Here is a 21,254-nt window from a genome sequence, read left to right as displayed (position 1 = left end):
TGGGATGATCTCAATCTCCTGACCTCGTGATCCGCCTGCCTTAGCCTCCCAAAGTGCTGGGATTACAGGCGTGAGCCATTGCACCTGGCCTTCTATTGCTGTTTTTAATGGTTCTTTTAAACCATTGTCAAATGACTGGTAGCTTTTGTAGCTGGCTAGTTTTTTGTAACTGGGTGGTTATGAATATCTACTTAATTTTGAATGTGAGACATGGATTCTCATAACCTCATAGAACCCAAGACCTGGAAAGGATCTTTTATTTTGAGACAGAGTCTTACTATGTTACCCATGCTGGAGTGCAGTGGTGCAGTCATGGATCATTGCAGCCTCTACCTCCTGGGCTCAAGCCATCCTCCCACCTCAGCTTCCCAAGTATCTGGGCCTACAGACGTGTAACACATCCAGCTAATATTTAAATTTTTTTGTAGAGATGAGGTCTCCCTGTGTTGCCCAGGCTGGTCTCAGACTTCTAGCCTCAGGCCATCCTCCTGTCTCAGCCTCCCAGAGTGCTGGGATTATAGGCATGAGACACCATGCCTGGCCTAGAAGGGATCTTAAAAGATAATTTATTCATCCTTCAGTGTTCTTTTAGCATTATGGTTTCTTCACCGATTTTTATTATTCTTTCTTTTATTACTATTACAATTATTATTATTAAGATGAGGTCTTGCTCTGTCACCCAGGCTGGAGTGCAGTGGTGCTGTCATGGCTCACTGAAGCCTTGACCTCTGGCTCAAGAGATCTACCTGCCTCAGCATCCCGAGATGCTTGTACTACAGGCACGTGCCATCATACCTGGCTGATTTTTTTTTTTTTTTTTTTCAGAGAGACAGGGTCTCACTATGTTGTCTAGGCTGGTATTGAACTCCTGGGCTCAAGCGATCCTCCTGCCTTAGCCTCCCAAAGTGCTGGGATTACAGGCATGAGCCACTGCGTCTGGCAAAAAATGTTAATATTATTAATACTATTTGACTTTACATTTTGTTTTACTGACTTTCACTGTATTTCAGTTTTAGAAATTTGTTAATCTTTTTCTTCATGAGTGATTATTACAGTTAAATGTTATGCTTAGGAAGGCATTTCCCACTTCCCCTCCGGAAATTGTGAAAATACTCTGTATTTCCTCCTTCCTTCCTTCCTTCCTTCCCTCCCTCCCTCCCTCTCTCTCTCGCTCTCTCTTTCTTTCTTTTTTTTTTTTTGACAGGGTCTCTCTCTGTCACCCAGTCTGGAGTGCAGTGGTGTGATCTTGGCTCACTGCAGCCTTGAATACCTGGGCTCAAGTGATCCTCCCACCTCAGCCTTTTGAGTAGGTGGGACTACAGGCATGCACCACCGTGCCCAGCTAATTTTTGTATTTTTTTTTTTTTTTTTTTAGAGAGATAGGGTCACCCTATGTTACCCAGGCTTGTCTCGAACTTCTAGTCTGAAACAATACTCCTGCCTCGGCTTCCCAAAGTGCTGGGATTATGGATGTAAGCCATTGTGCCTAGTCTCTATTTCCCCATTCTTAATCTAAATTCCTTGTTAAACTTTACTTATACTGGTTTAGAGTTTCTTGGCTCATCTTTATGGAGCCAGTGCCATTAAAATGCTTTTTGCATGATTTTCATTCAGACACATTCAGGAGGTGGTAAATCTTCAAACCCAGCAGAATAAGGAGCTGCAGGAGCTCTATGAACGCCTTCGGTCAATTAAAGATAGCAAAACCCAATCTACTGAGATTCCTTTGCCACCTGCATCACCACGTCGACCAAGATCTTTCAAAAGCAAACTTCGAAGCCGCCCCCAGTCCTTGACACATGTGGACAATGGCATAGTTGCTACAGGTAAATCAGTCATAAAAGTAATTTTTAAAAAATCTAGTCCAAGATTAGCAAAATTAGTAAAATGATTATAATACAATTTATTTTTAATTAGGCTAAAATAATTTAAAGAAGTACACATTATTCTGAGATTATTTTCTGTTTTTGATGTTAAATGTCCTTTTATGTAGTAATGATTAGGATAATTGATAGATTGTAAAGAGAAGCTGAGTATGGTTCATGCTTTTATTTGGAAAACCAGCAGCTGGAAGCCCAATGCCAATCCCCACAATAATTTTTGAAATGTTATCAGTCAGTGGGAACTTCTGGTCTAGCATTTAGAGTTTGTTGGAGAGTTTGTTGGTAACAAGATAATCTTAAAATTATACTCGGCCAGGCGCAGTGGCTCACGCCTGTAATCCCAACACTTTGGGAGGCTGAGGTGGGCCTGTCGCCTGAGGTCAGGAGTTCGAGACCAGCCTAGCTAACATGGCGAAACCCCATCTCTACTAAAAATACAAAAATTAGCTGGATGTGGTGGCAGGCGCCTGTAATCCCAGCTACTCAGGAGGCTGAGATGGGAGAATTGCTTGAACCCTGGAAGCAGAGGTTGCAGTGAGCCGAGATTGTGCCATTGCACTCCAGCCTGGGCGACAAGTGCGAAACTCCATCTAAAATACATACATACATACATACATATATATATATATATATATATACACACACACACACACACATATACACAGACACACACACACACTCAACAAGAATGAAACTCCGTCTCATAAAAAGAAATACATACATATATATACACTCATGCTCTTATCTGAAGAGATCTTTATTAGTTATAAGAATATTAGTAAAATATACTTCTTTGACTTTGAAAAATAAGAGCATCAATCTCTACTTAACTAATATAGAAGTTGTTAATCAGGTCAGGCCTCTTTGGTTATATGTGCATAGTCAAGGTGGGGGTTAAGGATGTATTGTAAGGACATATGTGAAATCCCAATGGAACTTGTCGTAGGCAGAATAATTCCCCCCGAAAACGTCCATGTGCAAATCTCTGAAACTTGTGACCATGGTAGGATATATGGCAAAGGAGAATTAAGCTTGCAGATGGGATTAAAGTTGCTAATCTGCTGACTCTAAGATAGGGAGATTATCCTGGATTATCCAGGTAGGTCCAGTGTAAAATCACTAGGATCTTTAAAAGTAGAAGAGAAGAAACACAGAAGAGTCAGAGAAAAGGGAAACAGTGTCAGAAAGGTGCAACATTGCTGGCTTTGAAGATGGAGGAAGAGTGCCACAGACCAAGGAATGGAGGCAACTTCTGGAAGCTGGAAAGGCCAGGGAACACATCTCTCCTATAGCCTTCAGAAGGAACACAGTCCTGGCAACACCTTGATTTTAGGCCAGTGAGGCCCATGTTAGGCTTGTAACCTAGAGAACTATAAGATCAATTTGTGTTGTTTGAAGCCACTAAGTTTGTGGTAATTAGTTACAACAACAATAGACAACTAATACAGAACCCAAGAAAAGGAACTGTACTTGGATGATCTTGTAAAGACAGAATTAAGGGGTAGACTTAGATTGAAGGCAGCTCTGGGGATTTAATAGCAGAAGTACATGAACCTTCAGTCTGATGCAGTATCACTAATAGCTATACTTTATTTTATTCTGTTTCATTCCCAAATGGCTTCATTTTATGCATAGTTTCTGCTTTCCCAAAACTGTTAGATAACACTGGTTACTCGTGATCCCAAAGCATTCTTTCACTTTCAGGTCCTTATTTAACTGACCTTTGTTAGATTCCAGGGACAGAAAATTTGACTGTCCCTGCTCATCTTTTTCATGCCAAGAAATGGGTCAGAGCCCATTGCCTGGCCTATAGTTGGGCTGTTCTACAGTCAGGTGTCCACCTGTTTCTAAGTAAGCATGGCCAGAGAAGTATGATCTCATGGTAAAAACATGTCTCTGGAGGCTGTCTTTGGGATTCCTCAACTTATTTTGTGTTATAATGGATGTACCACAGTTTGTTTATCCATTCATCGGTTGGAGGACATTTGGGTTGTTTCTAGTTTGGGGTTTTACAAATAAAGCTCCCGTAAATAGTCACATACAGCTTTTTGGGTGAACATAAGTTTTCAGATCACTTGGATGAAATACCCAGAAATGAGATTGCTGCATCATATGGTATGCATATTTAACATTTTTTAAAAACTAACAAACCATTTTCCCAAGCAGCTGTATCATTTTACATTTTGTCAGCAATGTGCGAGACTTCCAGTTTTTCTGATGCTCTTCAGCACTTGGTATTACTAGCATTCTTTTTTTAGCCAATCCAATAGGTATTTGATGATATAAAGTGGTTATTTTATTATAATTTTCATTCCCATAATGGTTAGTGATGTTGAGCATTTTTTTTCTTGCACTTATTTGTGATCTGTATATCCTCTGTGGTAAAGTGTTTGTTCAAGTTTTTTGCTATTTTTTTGTATCCTGTTTTATTTTTAATTGAAATTTTCATTGAGATAATTGTCGATTTACATGCAGTTAAATAATACAGAGAGATGCTATGTACCTATGTATCCTTTACTCAGTTTATCCCAAAGGCAACAATTTTTGTCATTTTAGAAAATTAGGTTGTTGGTTTTCATATGGTTGATTTTCGAGAGTTTTTTCTGTATTTTTGATAAAAATCCTTTGTAGGACATGTGATTTAGAAATATATTATTCAAGTCTATAGCTTGTCTTTTCATTCTCTTAACAGTGTCATTGGCAGAGCGAAAGTTTGTGATTTTAATAAAGTATACTTTATCAAATTTTTTTTAAAAATTGTGATTTTGGTGTAATATTTAAGAACTCTGGCTAAACACAGGTCACAAAGATTTTCCTCTATGTTTTCTCCTAAAAGTTTAATAGTTTTATGTTTACATTTAGATTTATGACACATTTGGAATTACTTTTTGTATGAGGTGTGAGGTTTTGGGTGAGGTTCTTTTTTGCATATTGATATTCAATTATTACATTACCATTTGTGGAAGAGACCGTCCTTTCTCCATTGAATAGCTTTTGTACCTTTTTGAAAAATCAATTAGCCATATATGTGTCAATCTCTTTCTGGACTCTTTATTCTGTTCCAATTAATCTATGTGTCTGTCCTTTCACCAATACCACACTATTTTGATTATTGTAGTTTTATAGCAACTTTTAAAATTATTATTGTTAAAATTAGGTATTATGTTTCCTGAAACTTTGTTTTTTTTCAAAACTGTTTTAGCTACTCTACTTCCTCTTCCTTTTCATATAAATTTTAGAATCAGCTTGACTATATCTAAAAAAATCCTGCTGTGATTTTGATTGGAATTATGTTAAATCTATATATCAATTTTGGGGAGAATTGACATTTTTACTGTGCTGAGTCTTCCAATCAATAAACGTAGGCTATCTCTCCTTTTTTTTGTCTTTTTTTTTAACTTTTATTTTAGGCTCAGGGGTACATATGCAGGTTTGTTATATAGGCAAATTGCATGTCATGGGGGTTTGGTGTACAGTTTATTTCTCCAGGTCTTCTTAGATATGTTTTATCTGCTTTTTATAGTTTTCAGCTTACAGATTCTATATGTGTTTCGATTTATTTATACCTAAGGATTTATTTTATTTCTACAGGGTTTCCAATCACACATTGATAGAGAAATATGATTAATTTTTGTGTATCGACCTTACATCTGAAGATTTTGCTAAACATATTTGTTCTAGAAGTTTTCTTATAGATTCTTTGGGATTTTTTGAGTGAGCAATTATGTCATCTGCGAATATAGACTTTTTTGTTTCTCCCTTTTTAATCTTTATGCCTTTTATTTCTTCTTACTATTGTACTAGCTAAAACTTTATATTGGACATCCTTGCCTTGTTCTTCCAAGGAGAAAGCCTTCTGTCTTTTGCCATAAATTATAATGTTAACTGTAAGTTTTCGTATATGCCCTTTATTAATTTAAGTTCAATAAGTATGTTGGTTTACAGTTTTCATCTTTTTGTTTTATATTTTGAAAATTTTGATACTATCTTTTTCTGGTTTGATATCAGGGAAAAGCTGCCTTATAAATGAGTTGGAAAGTAAGTATTTCTTTTGCTTCTTTACTTTTAATTTTTTTAAAAAATTACAGTTTTATTGAGATATTTCACATATCATAATGTTCACTCATTTAACTTATACAATTTACAGACTTGTGCAGCTATTACCACAATTTGATTTTGGAATATTTTCAACATTCCACAAAGAAACATGTACATATTCATAGTCATCCCTCATTGTAGCTCCTCTACCCCAAACCCCCAACCACAGGCCCTAGGCAACCACAAATCTGCTTTCTGTTTCTATAGATTTGCCTATGCTGAAACATTTTGTATCAATACAGTTACACAATAATATGTGGTTTCGTGACTGGCTTCTTTTACTTATAATGTTTTTGGGAGTCAAACATTTTATAACATGTATCAGTACTTCATTTTTTATTGCTGTATAATATTAAAATGTATGTTTATCCATTAGAACACTTTCATCACCTCAAAAAGAAATCCCTTTTCTATGAGTAGTAGCCCCCGCCATTTATTCCCACTTCCCCCATCCTCCAGCCTCATCAATCACTAAAGTATTTTTTGTCTCTATAGATTTGCCTGCTCTTTTTTGGGAGGCCAAGGCAGGAGGATTGCTTGAGCCCAGGAGTTGGAGACCAGCCTGGGCAACAAAGTGAGACCCCATCTCTATAAAATTAGCCAGGCATGGTGGCGCACGCCTGTAGTCCCAGCTACTCAGAAGGCTGAGACAGGAGGATTGCTTGAGCCTAGGAGGTTGAGGCTGCAGTGATCCGTGTTCACGCCATTACACTCCAGCCTGGGCAACAAGCAAGACCTGTCTCAAAAAAATAAAATAAAATAAATAAAATAAAATAAGATTTGCCTACTCTGGACAGTTCATGTAAATGGAATCATACATCATGTGGTCTTTTGTGACTTTTTTCACTTAGCATATATTTACAAAGTTTAACTGTGTTGTAACATATATTGGTACTTCATTTCTTTTTGTTGCCAAATAATACTCCATTGTATGGATATGCCACATTTTATTCATTCATCAGTGATTACACATTTGTGTTGTTTTCTCTTTTTTTTGCTATTATGAATAATGCTGCTATGAACAGTTGTGTTCAAATTTTTATGTGGACATTTGTTTTCATTTCTCTTGGATAGATATGTAGGAGTGGAATTGCTAGATGACATGGGAACTCTATGTTTAATCTTTTGAGGAATTACCAGACTTTTTTTCCAAAATAGCTGCACCATTTTACAGTCATAACAGCAGGACATGAGGGTTCAACAACTCAACAATAAAAGATTCAAAAATCCAATTTTAAAATGGGCAAAAGATTCAAATAGGCATTTTTCTAAAGAAGATATATGAATGACTGATAAATACATGAAAAGATGTTCTGTAATATTAGTTATTAAGGAAATGTAAATCAAAGGCACAATGAGATAAAACTTTACACCCACTTAAAATGGCTGAAATTTAAAAAGGCAATTCCCAAGGACATAGGACATATGAGGCGAAAAAAAGAAAAAAAAATTTTTAAGACAGTAGCAAGTGTTGGAGGGAATGTAGAGAAATTGTTGAGTTGTGAGTAAGGACTAGAGCCTTACTGAATATGATTTTGCAAATAATCATCTCCTATTCTTAGATTGTCTTTTCACTTTCTTGATAGTGTCTTTTGAAGCACAAAAAGTTTTTAATGGTTTTAAAATCTAATCTGTTTCTTTTCTTTTGTTACTTGTGCTTTTACTGTCATATCTAAAATTCCGTTGGCTCACCATTGACTCTATAGTAATTGAAAAGAAAGAGAAAAAAGAAAAAAAATCTATTGCCTAACTTAAGGTCATGAAGATTTATTCCTATAATTTCTTTTGTTTGTTTGTTTGTTTTGTTTCGTTTTGAGATAGAGTCTCACTCCGTCGCCCAGGCTGGAGTGCAGTGGCGCGATCTCGGCTCACTGCAACGTCCGCCTCCCAGGTTCAAGCGATTCTCCTGCCTTAGCCTCCTGAGTAGCTGGGACACAGGCGCGTGGCACCACACCCCACTAATTTTTTATTTTTAGTAGAGACGGGGTTTCACCATGTTGGCCAGGCTGGTCTCAAACTCCTGACCTCAGGTGATCCGCCCACTTTGGCCTCCCAAAGTGCTGGGATTACAGGCATGAGCCACCGTGCCCGGCCTATTCCTATATTTTCTTCTAGGAGTTTTATAGTGAATCTCTTACATTTAGTTCTTTTTTTTTTTCTTCTTCTTTTTTTTTTTTTTTTTTTGAGACAGAGTCTCACCCTGTCGCCCAGGCTGGAGTGCCGTGGCACAATCTCAGCTCACTGTAACCTCCACCTCCCAGGTTCAAGCGATTCTCCTGCCTCAGCCTCCTAAGTAGCTGGGACTACAGGTGCATGCCATCACGCCTGGCTAATTTTTATATTTTTAGTAGAGACAGGGTTTCGCCATGTTGGCCAGGCTGATCTCGAACTCCTGACCTCAGGTGTTCCACCCGCTTCGGCCTCCCAAAGTGCTGGGATTACAGGCCTGAGCCGCTGCACCCGGCTACATTTAGTTCTTTGATCCATTATGAGTTAATTTGTGCATATGGTGTGAGTTAAAGATCCAGATTCTTTTTTTTTTTTTTTTTTTTTTTTTTGGGTATGTGGATATCTCCTTGTCCTAGCACTTTTTGTTGAAAAGACTATTTTTCCCCCATTGAGTTGTCTTGGTACCCTTATTGAAAATCAACTGACCAGAAATGGACAGATATATTTCTGTAATCTTAATTCTACTCCGTTGATCTCTGTGTCTGGCCTTATGCCAATCCCATACCATCTTGATTCCTATAGTTTATCATGTGTTTTGAAATTGTAAATTGAGTTCTCTAAATTTGTTCTTATCTTTCATGATTGTTTTGACTATTCTGGGTAATTTGAATTTTCATGTAAATTTTAGAATCAGCTTGTCAATTTCTGAAAAAAACAGTTGGAATTTAGAGTATTGACTCTATATATCAATTTGGGGAGTATTGTTATCTTTAAAATGTTGTCTTCCAATCTGTGAACATGGTATGTCTTTCTGTTTATTCAGATTGTCTTTAAATTTCTTTCTTTCTTTTTTTTTTTTTTTTTGAAACAGAGTCTCTCTCTGTTGCCCAGGCTGGAGTGCAGTGGCATGATCTCAACTTACTGCAACCTCTGCCTCCTGGGTTTAAACAATTCTCATGCCTCAGCCTCCCAAGTAGCTGGGATTACAGACGTGCACCACCACACCTGGCTAATTTTTCTATTTTTGGTAGAGACAGGGTTTTGCCATGTTGGCCAGGCTGGTCTTGAACTCCTGACCTCATGTGATCCACCCACCTCAGCCTCCCAAAGTGCTGGGTTTACAGTCGTGAGCCACCACGCCCAGCCAGGTTGTCTTTAAATTTCTTTCAACAATCATTTTTAGTTTTTAGTGTATAAGTTTTGTGCTTATTATTATTATTATTATTATTATTTTGAGGCAGGGTCTCACTCTGTTGTCCAGGGTTGAGTGTAGTGGCATGATCATTGTTCACTGCAGCCTCAACCTCCTGGTCTCACTCAAGTGATCTTTCTGCCTCAGACTCCCAAGTAGCTGGGACTACAGGCACATGCCACCATGTCCTGCTATTTTTTTTTTTTATTTGTTTTAGAGACAAGGTCTCCTTATGTTGCCCAGGCTGGTCTTGAACTCATGTATGCTAAAGAAAAGTATGTATTCTGGTGTTGTTGGGTGGAGCGTTCCATATATGTCTGTTAGGCCTCTTTGGTTTAGAGGGCTGTTCAAGTCTTCTATTTCTCTGTTGATCATCTGCCTAGTTCTATCAGTTATTAAAAGTGGGTTATAGAAGTCTCCAACTGGCAGGGCACGGTGGCTCACGCCTGTAATCCCAGCACTTTGGGAGGCCGAGGTGGGCGGATCACAAGGTCAGGAGATCAAGACCCTCCTGGCTAACATGGTGAAACCCCATCTATACTAAAAATACAAAAAATTAGCCCAGTGTGGTGGCGGGCGCCTGTAGTCCCAGCTACTCGGGAGGCTGAGGCAGGAGAATGGCGTGAACCCGGGAGGCGGAGCTTGCAGTGAGCCGAGATCTTGCCACTGCACTCCAGCCTGGGCGACAGAGCGAGACTCCATCTCAAAAAGAAAAAAAAAAAGAAGTCTCCAACCATTGTTGAATTTCTCCCCTCAATTCTGTCAATTTTGCGTTGTGTATTTTGGAACACACTTGCACACATATGTAATAATTGTTATGTCTTCTTAATTTATATTTCATTTTATTTGGCTGAAGGAGAATTATTATTATTATTTGTCCAGAAAACTCAACAGTCTACATTTAACCCAGCTTAATGGGAAGGTGTTTTTTTTTTTTTTTTAGATGGAGTTTCGCTCTTGTTGCCCAGGCTGGAGTGCAATGACGTGATATCAGCTCACTGCAACCTCTGCCTCCCAGGTTCAAGCGATTCTCCTGCCTCAGCCTCCCTAGTACCTGGGATTACAGGCATGTGCCACCACACCCAGCTAATTTTGTATTTCTAGTAGAGATGGGGTTCTCTATGTTGGTCAGGCTGGTCTCAAACTCCTGACCTCAGGTGATCCGCCTGCCTCAGCCTCCCAAAGTGCTGGGATTACAGGCGTGAGCCACTGCGCCTGGCCAATGGGAAGTTCTTAAGCCTTTGCCTTTTCCAGCTTGGCAATGAGAGCCAGAGATTTTGGACCCAGGATATTGCCTCCCTAGTGACAGTGGATCTCATCCTGTCTGTCATTGTCATTGGTTCTGATGGCTTCCACCAGCTTAGCCAAAGCTCCTTTGTCTGCCAAGTTAATCTGTGTGAAGGCGACAGTGGTGCAAGTCTTCCTGTGGACTAGACATCCCAGTCTTCTCTTCCCTTTGTATTTTATGATGCAGGGCAGGCAGGAAGACAGCTAGCTCTATGAGATCCATTGTCACGTGCAGTCACCACCAGCTGAGCTTTCTTGTTCTCCACCAAGGTGGTGACAGCATTAATCCCTGCTCAAAGGCCTTAGTGGAGACATCCCTCTGGCAACTTTCTTCTCAGTCTGGACCAATGATCTTCTTGCTTTGTCTCTGGTCTGTCCTTATAGGCCAGCTTAAGCAGTTGTGTAGCTATTTGGCAGTCCAAGGCCTAGGTAAACTGGTTATTTGCAGGAGGCACTTTCAGCTGCTTTTAGAAGATATATAGATCCTTGCTGCTGCAACCTGATATAGCAGGGCCATCTGACAAAGTGGGTGAGGTCCCTTTAGGGCTGGATGTCCTGTTCAGTGCCAAAATTCTTAGGCCTTTTCTCAAACGGGATTCATCACCTTCTTCGCCTCCTGCTTCCTCACAATAGCAGGAGAGGGGGCCATCTTCTTCCACTTAGCCTTCATTCCTTTTGGCATTTTGAATGGCTAGAGGAGAGATTATTTCTGATATTAGTACAACCAATCCAGCTTTCTTTTGGTTACTGCTTGCATGCCATATCTTTTTCTGTTCTTTTACTTTGAATGTATTTCTGTCTTTAAATCAGAATTGTGTTTATTGTTATCATATATAGTTAAATCATGTTTTTTATTCTGTCAATCTGTCTTTTGATTGGGGCATTTAAATCATTTCCATTTAATGTAAGGTAGGATTTATGCCTGTCATTTTGTTATCTTTGTTTTCTATATATCTTCGATTTTTTTCTTTTTTTCCTCATCCTCTGACTCTCCGTATTCCTGCCTTCTTTTATGTTAAATAGATATTTTCCAATGTAGCATTTAAATTCTATTGTGTCTTTTTTTATATATATATATATATATATATATTATTATTATTATTATTATTATACTATACTTTTTTTTTTTTGAGACAGAGTCTCACTCTGTCACCCAGGCTAGAGTGCAGTGGTGCAATCTCTGCTGACTGCAACCTCCACCTCCCGGGTTCAAGTGATTCTTCTGCTCAGCCTCCCAAGTAGTTGGGACTACAGGTGCATACCACCATACCTGGCTAATTTTTGTATTTTTAGTAGAGACGAGGTTTTGCCACATCGGCCAGGTTGGCCTCAAACTCCTGACTTCAGGTGATCTGCCCACCTCAGCCTCCCAGAGTGCTGGAATTACAGGCGTGAGCCACCATGCCCGGCCTATTATACTATACTTTTCATTTTTCTTCTTTTTTTTGAGACAGGGTCTCACCCTGTCACCCAGGCTGGAGTGCAGTGGTGTGATCATAGCTCACTATAACCTCAACCTCCCGGGCTCAAGTTATCCTCCCACATCAGCCTCCTGAGTAGCCGGGACCATAGGCGCATGCTACCATGCTCAGCTAATTAAAAAAAAAAAAATTTTTTTTTAAATACAGGCTCTCACTGTATTGTCCAGGCTGGCCTCGAGCTCCTGGGCTTAAGCAATCCTCCTACCCAGCCTCCCAAATTGCTGGTATTACAGGTGTGAGCCAAAGTACCTGGCCCTATATTATTCTTTTCTTATATTTTTCAGTTATTTTCTTGTGGTAGCCACAATGAGCTTCTTAATTTAAAAGCAATCTAGTTCAGTTTTTTTGTGTGTTTTTTGTTTGTTTTGAGACGAAGTTTTGCTCTTGTCGCCCAGGCTGGAGTGCAATGGTGCGACCTTGGCTCACTGCAACCTCCGCCTCCCAGGTTCAAGCGATTCTCCTTCCTCAGCCTCCTGAGTGGCTGGGATTACATGTACCTGCCATCACGTGCAGCTAATTTTTGTATTTTTAATAGAGACAGGGTTTCACCATATTAGCCAGGCTGGTCTCGAACTCCTGACCTCAGGTGATCCACCCGCCTCAGCCTCCCAAAGTGTTGGGATTACAGGCGTGAGCCACCACACCCAGTCATGTTTTTTTGTTTGTTTGTTTGGTTGGTTGGTTTTTTTTTAAGATGGGGTCTTGCTCTGTTGCCCAGGCTGGAGTTGAGTGGCGTGATCTCAGCTCACTGCAACTTCTGCCTCTGGGTTCAAGCGATTCTCCTGCCTCAGCTACCTGAGTAGCTGGGATTACAGGCGTGCGTCACCATGCCTGGCTAATTTTTTTGTATTTTTAGTAGAGATGGGGTTTCACCATGTTGGCCAGACTGGTCTCAAACTCCTAACCTCAGGTGATCCGCCCGCCTCGGCCTCCCAAAATGCTGGATTACAGGTGTGAGCCACCTCGCCTGGCCTCTAGTTCAGTTTAATACTAAATTAACTTCAATGGTACACAAAACATTTCTCTAATATATGTGTGTGTAATACATACACACACGTATTCCCTCACAACTTCTTTGTACTATTATTGTTATACACATTACATCTTTACATGTTATAAGCTCATTGACACAATTTTATAGTTATTGCTTTATGCAGTTGACTTTGAAATCAGGTAGGAAAAGTAGAGTTATAAATACAAAGTACATTTATACTGAATATTATATTTACCTATGTAGTTCTCTTCAGCAGTGTGCTTTATTTTTTCATGTGGATTTGAGTAACTATCTAGCATTCTTTTATTTCATCCTAAAGGACTCACTTTAATATTTCTTGTAAGTTAGGTCAGCTAGCAATGAATTTCCAGTTTTTTATTAGAAGTGTTTCTATTTTTATTTTTTTTCCATTTATGGAATTTGTTTTTAAAAAACAAGGACATAAAGGACTAGCTTAAATTGGATCAAAGGCTGTTAAAGGTCCTGGTACAATTCACCTTATAAAACATAAGGTATGAGAAAGTATGCCTGTGTTTTGTTTGGTGAGTAGAAAATAAGAAGGAAATTTTGGTGATTTCCAATTCAAGTGTGTCACTGCTGTGACAGCTTCCAGCTCACAGAAACATCTGGTATTCTTAATACCTTCTATTCTGGCCCAGGTTAAATTTCTTTAATTATATACAACAAGTAGAATCCTATTTTAATAGGAACTCTAAAATAGCTAGCTATTTAAAACTCTTCTCTTTATTGATGCTTCCTTTTCAGCCATAAAGTTGATAGAAAAAATACTGAAAAGTACAAAATTGAAAAAAAATTATTTTGCTTAATAAGTCTATTAATAAAGTTTTATTTTATGCAATAAGACACCTAAAAATTTGAAAGGCAAAATCATTCTTGTAAAATAAAGCCATTTGGATTTAGACTTTCTAGGGTTTTGGGAAATAATGTAAAAAAATAAAGATTCCATTTGTTTTGTTTTTGAGACAGGGTCTGACCCTGTCCCTCAGGCTGAAGTGTAGTGGTGCCATCACAGCTCACTGCAGCCTCGACCTCCTGGGCTCAAGTGATCCTCCCACCTCAGCCTCCCAAGTAGCTGGGACTACAGGTACACACTACCATGCCCAGCTAATTTTTTTTTTAATAGAGATGGGGTCTCCTTATGTTGCCCAGGCTGGTCTACAGCTTCTGAGCTCAAGTGATCTGCCCACATCAGCCTCCCAAAGTGCTGGGATTATTTAGGAAAGGTCTTATTCTAAAAATGCTTGGTTCAATGGAAATTCAGATTTTTTAGTATTCTTTGTATTCCAGTCATCAAGAAGAACTAGTTATTAGAATGAGCATTGAAAGTATAAAGTTCCTTTTGCATGTTCCCAAGAGTTAGTCATCTTCCATTTTTCAAATCTTTTTTACAACAAATATTTTGCTTTTGATACTTAACATTAGGTCTCTGAAATAAAGAATAGGTAAACAAAAGAGTAAATCTAGAGGCATGGCTACTTTACTGTTATAACTGGTTATTTCCAAATCTCAGTTGTATATACCTTATCCACTTCTCCCCTGGTATATAGACTAGCTTTTATCCACCTTTGAACTCTCACAACTGAACAGTTGGCTCCCAAAAGACAGTGCACAGTTTGGTGCCCTTAACTCTATTACATACTTTTCACAAGACACACTTCTTTTCCTATAGATTAAAATTCACCTATAGAAAACTGTTACTCATTTTCTTAAAACATAACAATCTCCAACTACATGCAGAGCATGATGTCTATGAGAAGGTCACCCTCTTCAAGGAGTTTATAGCACAGTGTTATGTGTGGATCTCCTTCCTTTTTTTTTTTTTTTTTTTTTTTTTTTTTTTGGGAGATGGAGTCTCGTTTTGTTGCCCAGGCTGGCGCGATCTCGGCTCACTGCAACCTCCGCCTCCCGGGTTCAAGTGATTCTCCTGCCTCAGCCTCCCGAGTAGCTGGGATTACAGGTGCCCGCCACTAGGCCTGGCTAATTTTTGTATTTTTAGTAGAAATGGTACCACCATGTTGGCCAGGTTGGTCTCGAACTCCTGACCTCAAGTGATCTGCCTGCTTCAGCCTCCCAAAGTACTGGGATTACAGGTGTGAGCCACCGTGCCTGGCCGGGTCTCCTTCATTTTTGAAAGATTTAGGTGAATTCTTCTTTGATAGTCTTACTCTTTCAACACTTTGACAGTGTCATCCCATTGTCTTTTGGCCTGTATGGTTTCCAATGAGAAGTCAGCTCTTAATTTTATTGAAGTCCCTTATACATGACAAGTCTATTTTTTGTCTTCTTTAAAGATTTTCTTTTTGTCTTTGATTTTCATCAATTTGATTATGAGTGTCTAGGTATGGATCTCATTAAATTTACTTTAGTTATAGTTCACTGAGCTTCTTGAATGTGTAAATTAATATTTGTCATTCAGTTTTGGAAATTTGGAGTTATTATTTATTCTGATATTTTTTCTGCCCTTTTCTCTTCTATTTTTGGAACTCCTATTATGCATATTTGTCATGCTTGATGGTGTCCAACAGGTCTGTGAGGCTCTTTCACTTTTTTAAATTTTTTTATTTTTTATTTTATCTATCTATCAATTTATTTATGAGACAGAGTCTCATTTTGTGAATTTATTTATGAGACAGAGTCTCACTTTGTTACCCAGGCTGGTGTGAAGTCGTGTGATCTTGGCTCACTGCAACCTCCGCTTCCCGGGTTCAAGCAATTCTCGTGCCTCAGCCCCCCAGGTAGCTGGGATTACAGACGCGCACCACCACACCCGGCTAATTTTTGTATTTTTAGTAGAGGCAGGGTTTCACCATGTTGGCCAGGCTGATCTCGAACTCCTGACCTCAAGTGATCTGCCTGCCTTGGCCTCCCATAGTGCTGGGATTACAGGCGTAGCCACCACACCCGGCCTCTTTCTTTTCTTTTCTTTTTTTTTTTTTTTTAATTCTTTTTTCTTTCTGTTCTTCAAAGTGGATTTCTTCATCAACCTGTTTTCTTGTTGGTTGATTATTTCTTTTTCCCACTAAAATCTCTTAATGGGCCCCTCTATATAATTTTTCACTTCAGATACTGTATTTTTAAGCTCTAGAATTTGCTTTTTAAAAACAACTTCCATCTCTAGTCTCTATTTGGTGAGATATTGTTGTCACACTTTCCTTTAATTTTTTTAGGCATAGTTTCCCTAAGTTTGGATATACAGTTTGTCCCTTGGTATATGCGGAGATCAGTTCCAGGACTCCTGCGTATGCCAAAATCCACACAGTCAAGTTCCACAGGTGGCCCTGAGGAATGCACATATATACAAAATGTCAGCCCTCCATATATGCAGGTTTCACATCCCAGAATACTGTATTTTCGATCCATATTTGGTTGAAAACAATCCACATATAAGTGGACCTGCACAGTTCAAACCTGTTTTGTTCAAGGGTCAACTGTATTTATAATAGCTGATATAAAAGCTTTGTCTACTAAGTCCAAAATATAGGCCCCCTCCAGGATGTTTTTGTTGGGTCCCCTTTTTTCCTGCATATGTCATGCTTTCCTGTTTCTTTGCGTGTCTCTTAATTTTGTGGTGCAAACTGGACATTTTAAATAATATATTAAAGAACTTCTAGTATCGGATTCTTCTACCCCTCAAGGGTTGTTGTTGTTTTTCTTGTTGCTAATTATTTAGTGATTTTCCTGGACAAATTTTACATTCCCTGCAGTGTATGGCCATTGAATTCCCTGCTGGATTTTCTTTTTCAAAGAGCCATGGCTGGAGTGTAGTGGCATGATCTAGTTCACTGCAGCTTCAAACTCCTGGGCTCAAGCAATCCTCCTACCTCAGCTTCCTTAGTACCTGGGACTAATAGGTGCATGCCACAACACATGGCAATTTTTTTTTTTTTAAGAGACCAAGCCTTGCTCTGTCACCAGACTGGAGTGCAGTGGTGTGATCTCGGCTCACTGCAACCTCCGCCTCCTGGGTTGAAGCAATTCCCCTGCCTCAGCCTTATGAGTAGCTGGGACCACAGGCACACGCCACCACACCCAGCTAATTTTTTGTGTGTATTAGTAGAGATGGGGTTTTACCATGTTGGCCAGGATAGTCTTGATCTCCTGGACCTCATGATCCACCCGCCCCAAAGTGCTGGGATTACAGGTGTGAGCCACCGCGCCTGGCCCACATGGCTAATTTTTTTTTTTTTTTTTTTTGATGGAGTCTTGCTCTGTCGCCCAGGCTGGAGTGCAGTGGTGCAATCTCAGCTCAATGCAAGCTCCGCCTCCTGGGTTCATGCCATTCTCCTGCCTCAGCCTCCCAAGTAGCTGGGACTACAGGCGCCCACGACCACACCCAGCTAATTTTTTGTATTTTTAGTAGAGATGGGGTTTCAGCGTGTTAGCCAGGATGGTCTCGATCTCCGACCTCGTGATCTGCCTGCCTTGGCCTCCCAAAGTGTTGGGATTACAGGCGTGAGCCACCGTGCCCGGCCCACATGGCTAATTTTTAAAATTTGTGTAAAGATGGGGTCTTGCTATGTTGTCCAGGCTGGTCTCAAACTCCTGGCCTCAAGAGATCCTCTTGCCTCAGCCTCCCAAAGTTCTGGGATTACAGGCATGAGCCAATACACCTGGCCTCCCTGTTGGATTTGTTTTTATTTATTTATTTTTAATTTTTAAGCCTGGTTTCCCAAGGTTCACACCTGGGCTAGTGCCGTTTAGTGATGAGCCATGATTGGTCAGAAGAGTTCACTAAGTGCCTTGCCTGGATATCTTTTCCAAAGGGATCTCTGTTAGAGATCAAACTTCAGACAGTTTGTAAGACAACCTTTGATTTACTTCCTGCTTGCCTAGGAACTCAAGGTCAACCAGAAGTGAGTGATTGGCACCTTCTCCTTTCTTAGGTCTTTCGTGGGCATGCCAGACTTTTATATTGCCAAGAATATGTTAGAGGTTTTCAAAGTTTCTTATGGTCATCTAGTTCTCCCAGAATTCCCTTTTAATTCTAGTCTAGGTTCTTATTTGCCCCAACTGAAATCTCAGCCTTAGGCAGCTGAGTTGTTGCCTGCACTTTCCCATAGTTTCAGTAATGCCTTGCAGGTAGCCCCCTACTCTCCATCCCACTATGCTCTTCCACTGCCAGGTGAGCAGAGCTTTGAGTGAAATCAAATCTCCACCACACTTGGGAAATAGAAATCTTTCCAGGGTGCTGCAAAATATATATATATATATATATATTTTAGTATTTATTGATCATTCTTGGGTGTTTCTCGGAGAGGGGGATTTGGCAGGGTCATAGGACAATAGTGGAGGGAAGGTCAGCAGATAAACATGTGAACAAAGGTCTCTGGTTTTCCTAGGCAGAGGGCCCTGCCGCCTTCCACCTTCCGCAGTGTTTGTGTCCCTGGGTACTTGAGATTAGGGAGTGGTGATGACTCTTAACGAGCATGCTGCCTTCAAGCATCTGTTTAACAAAGCACATCTTGCACCGCCCTTAATCCATTTAACCCTTAGTGGACACAGCACATGTTTCAGAGAGCACGGGGTTGGGGGTAAGATTATAGATTAACAGCATCCCAAGGCAGAAGAATTTTTCTTAGTACAGAACAAAATGGAGTCTCCTATGTCTACTTCTTTCTACACAGACACAGTAACAATCTGATCTCTTTCTTTTCCCCACATTTCCCCCTTTTCTAGTCGACAAAACCGCCATCGTCATCATGGCCCGTTCTCAATGAGCTGTTGAGTACACTTCCCAGACTGGGTGGCGGCCGGGCAGAGGGGCTCCTCACTTCCCAGACAGGGCGGCGGGGCAGAGGTGCTCCCCACATCCCAGACGATGGGCGGCCGGGCAGAGACGCTCCTCACTTCCTAGACGGGATGACGGCCGGGAAGAGGCGCTCCTCACTTCCTAGACGGGGTGGCGGCCGGGCAGAGGCTGCAATCTCGGCACTTTGGGAGGCCAAGGCAGGCGGCTGGGAGGTGGAGGTTGTAGCGAGCGGAGATCACGCCACTGCACTCCAGCCTGGGCAACATTGAGCACTGAGTGAGCGAGACTCCGTCTGCAATCCCGGCACCTCGGGAGGCCGAGGCTGGCAGATCACTCGCGGTCGGGAGCTGGAGACCAGCCCGGCCAACGCGGGGAAACCCGTCTCCACCAAAAAATACGAAAACCAGTCAGGCGTGGCGGCGCGCGCCTGCAATCCCAGGCACTCGGCAGGCTGAGGCAGGAGAATCAGGCAGGGAGGTTGCCGTGAGCCAAGATGGCGGCAGTACAGTCCAGCCTGGGCTGGGCATCAGAGGGAGACCGTGCAAAGAGGGAGAGAGGAGACGGAGAGAGAGGGAGAGCTCCAGGGTGCTGCAAAATATTGACTGTGCACTGGAGATGGTGTTTTTTTTTTTTTTTTTTTTTTTGAGATGGAGTCTGGCTCTGTCTCCCAGGCTGCAGTGCACTGGCACAGTCTCGGCTCACTGCAAGCTCCGCCTCCCGGGTTCACACCATTCTCCTGCCTCAGCCTCCCAGGTAGCTGGGACTATAGGCACCCGCCACCACGTAGTGGCGTGATCTTGGCTCACTGCAAGCTCCGCCTCCTGGGTTCACGCCATTTTCCTGCCTCGGCCTCCTGAGTAGCTGGGACTACAGGCGCCCGCCACCACGCCTGGCTAATTTTTTGTATTTTTAGTAGAGACAGGGGTCTCACCGTGTTAACCAGGATGGTCTCGATCTCCTGACCTCGTGATCCGCCCACCTCAGCCTCCCAAAGTGCTGGGATTACAGGCGTGAGCCACCGCGCCCAGCCTGGAGATGGTGTTTTTAAGGGAGCTCAAAAAGAGGTATGATTGCTCCATTGTCTGCAGTGCTGCTGTTTGTTGGCTACCACAACGCTGAGCTGGGGAACAAGGGGGAATGAGAATTGCCCCAAGTCAAAGTGTCACAGATGCCAGTAGTTTCCATAGTTTGTCTTTCATAGAGGTTTTTAGTTTTATTCTATGGCTTTGGATAATTGTCAGGGGTGGTTGGTTCTAGTTGTTTTGCCTATATTTTTATTGTTTTTGAATACAAGAAAGTTTACCCAGGCCCTTATTCTGCATTTTTAGAAGTCCATCTTCTCCTTCCTTTTCTATTTTCTGAAGAGTTTGTCTTGAGTTAGTATTATTTCTTCTTTAAATGTCTGGGAAATTTTTCCAATGAAACCATCTGGGCTCAGAGATTTCTTTTTTGGGAGGTTTTTAACTTTTCAAACTTTTGGCCAGGCTTGGTGGCTCACGGCTGTAATCCAAGCACTTTGGGAGGCCAAGGCGGGAGGATCATCTGAGGTCAGGAGTTTGAGACCAGCCTGGCCAACATGGCAAAACCCCGTGTCTACTAAAAATACAAAAATTAGCCAGGTGTGGTAGCGGTGGCACGCGCCTGTAATCCCAGCTACCAGGGAGGCTGAGACAGGAGAAGTGCTTGAACCCAGGAGGTGGAGGTTGCAGTGAGCTGAGATTGTGCCACTGCCCTCCAGCCTGGGTGACAGAGTGAGACTCCATCTCAAAAAAAAATTTTTTTTTCAAAAATAAATCAAACTCTTCAATAGTAGTTACAGGATTATTTAGATTACGTATTTCATGTTGGGTGAGTTTCGGTAGTTTGTGGTTTTGGGGGGGACTTGTTCCATTTTGTCTATGCTGTTGAATTTTTGTGTTTACAGATAATATGAACATTATATTTAATATCTGGGGAATGACGTCACCTTTCATTCCTGATATTTAATTTGTCTTCTCTTTTTTTCTTTGTGATTCTTGATAGAAGCTTATCAATTTTATCTTTACAAAGATCCAGTATTTGCTTTTATTGATGTTTTTCTCTACTGTTTTCCCATTTTAAATTTTATGGATTTCTGCTCTTTATTATTTTCTGCCTTCTACATGCCTTGTGGTTATTTTGATCATTTTTTTCCCCTAGTTTTTTTTTTTTTGTTTGTTTTTTTTTTTGAGACGGAGTCTCACTCTGTCGCCCTGGCTGGAGTGCAGTGGCGCGATCTCGGCTCACTGCAACCTCCACTTCCCGGTTTCAAGCGATTCTCCTGCCTCAGCCTCCCGAGTAGCAGAGATTACAGGCGCCCACCACTTCGCCCAGCTAATTTTTTGTATTTTTAGTAGAGACT

The 21,254-nt window shown here is 40.9% G+C and overlaps 1 protein-coding gene and 1 pseudogene across 22 annotated transcripts in view, besides 1 other annotated feature; one reads left to right on the top strand and one right to left on the bottom strand.

The window, feature by feature from the left end:
• Nucleotides 1-21,254, top strand: part of WNK3 (WNK lysine deficient protein kinase 3) — a 166,078-nt gene that overhangs the window by 124,266 nt on the left and 20,558 nt on the right. For 10 of the 22 annotated variants that reach the window (XM_047442379.1, XM_017029744.2, XM_047442378.1 and 7 more), the window contains exons 21-22: nt 1,615-1,826; nt 5,892-5,921. In XM_047442379.1, coding sequence (XP_047298335.1) covers nt 1,615-1,826; nt 5,892-5,921 — 242 coding nt within the window. Of the gene's footprint in view, nt 1-1,614; nt 1,827-5,891; nt 5,922-6,476; nt 6,759-21,254 lie in introns of those variants that run through there. The other 12 variants (XM_047442382.1, XM_047442383.1, XM_047442381.1 and 9 more) reach the window with 2 other exon arrangements.
• RPL7AP71 (ribosomal protein L7a pseudogene 71) lies at nt 10,566-11,332 on the bottom strand (annotated as a pseudogene).
• Nucleotides 18,284-18,935: an enhancer, noted in NCBI's record as "NANOG-H3K27ac hESC enhancer chrX:54242133-54242784 (GRCh37/hg19 assembly coordinates)". NCBI's record gives its function as "activates a minimal SCP1, AML or CMV promoter by ChIP-STARR-seq in primed H9 embryonic stem cells {active_cell/tissue: H9 hESC(primed)}" and the evidence as "EXISTENCE:reporter gene assay evidence [ECO:0000049][PMID:30033119]".

Source organism: Homo sapiens, chromosome X (assembly GCF_000001405.40).
Source record: "Homo sapiens chromosome X, GRCh38.p14 Primary Assembly".
Classification (NCBI taxonomy): Eukaryota; Metazoa; Chordata; class Mammalia; order Primates; family Hominidae; genus Homo; species Homo sapiens.
The sequence above is the reverse complement of the archived record's forward strand: the minus strand, read 5'-3'. Positions and strand labels throughout refer to the sequence as shown.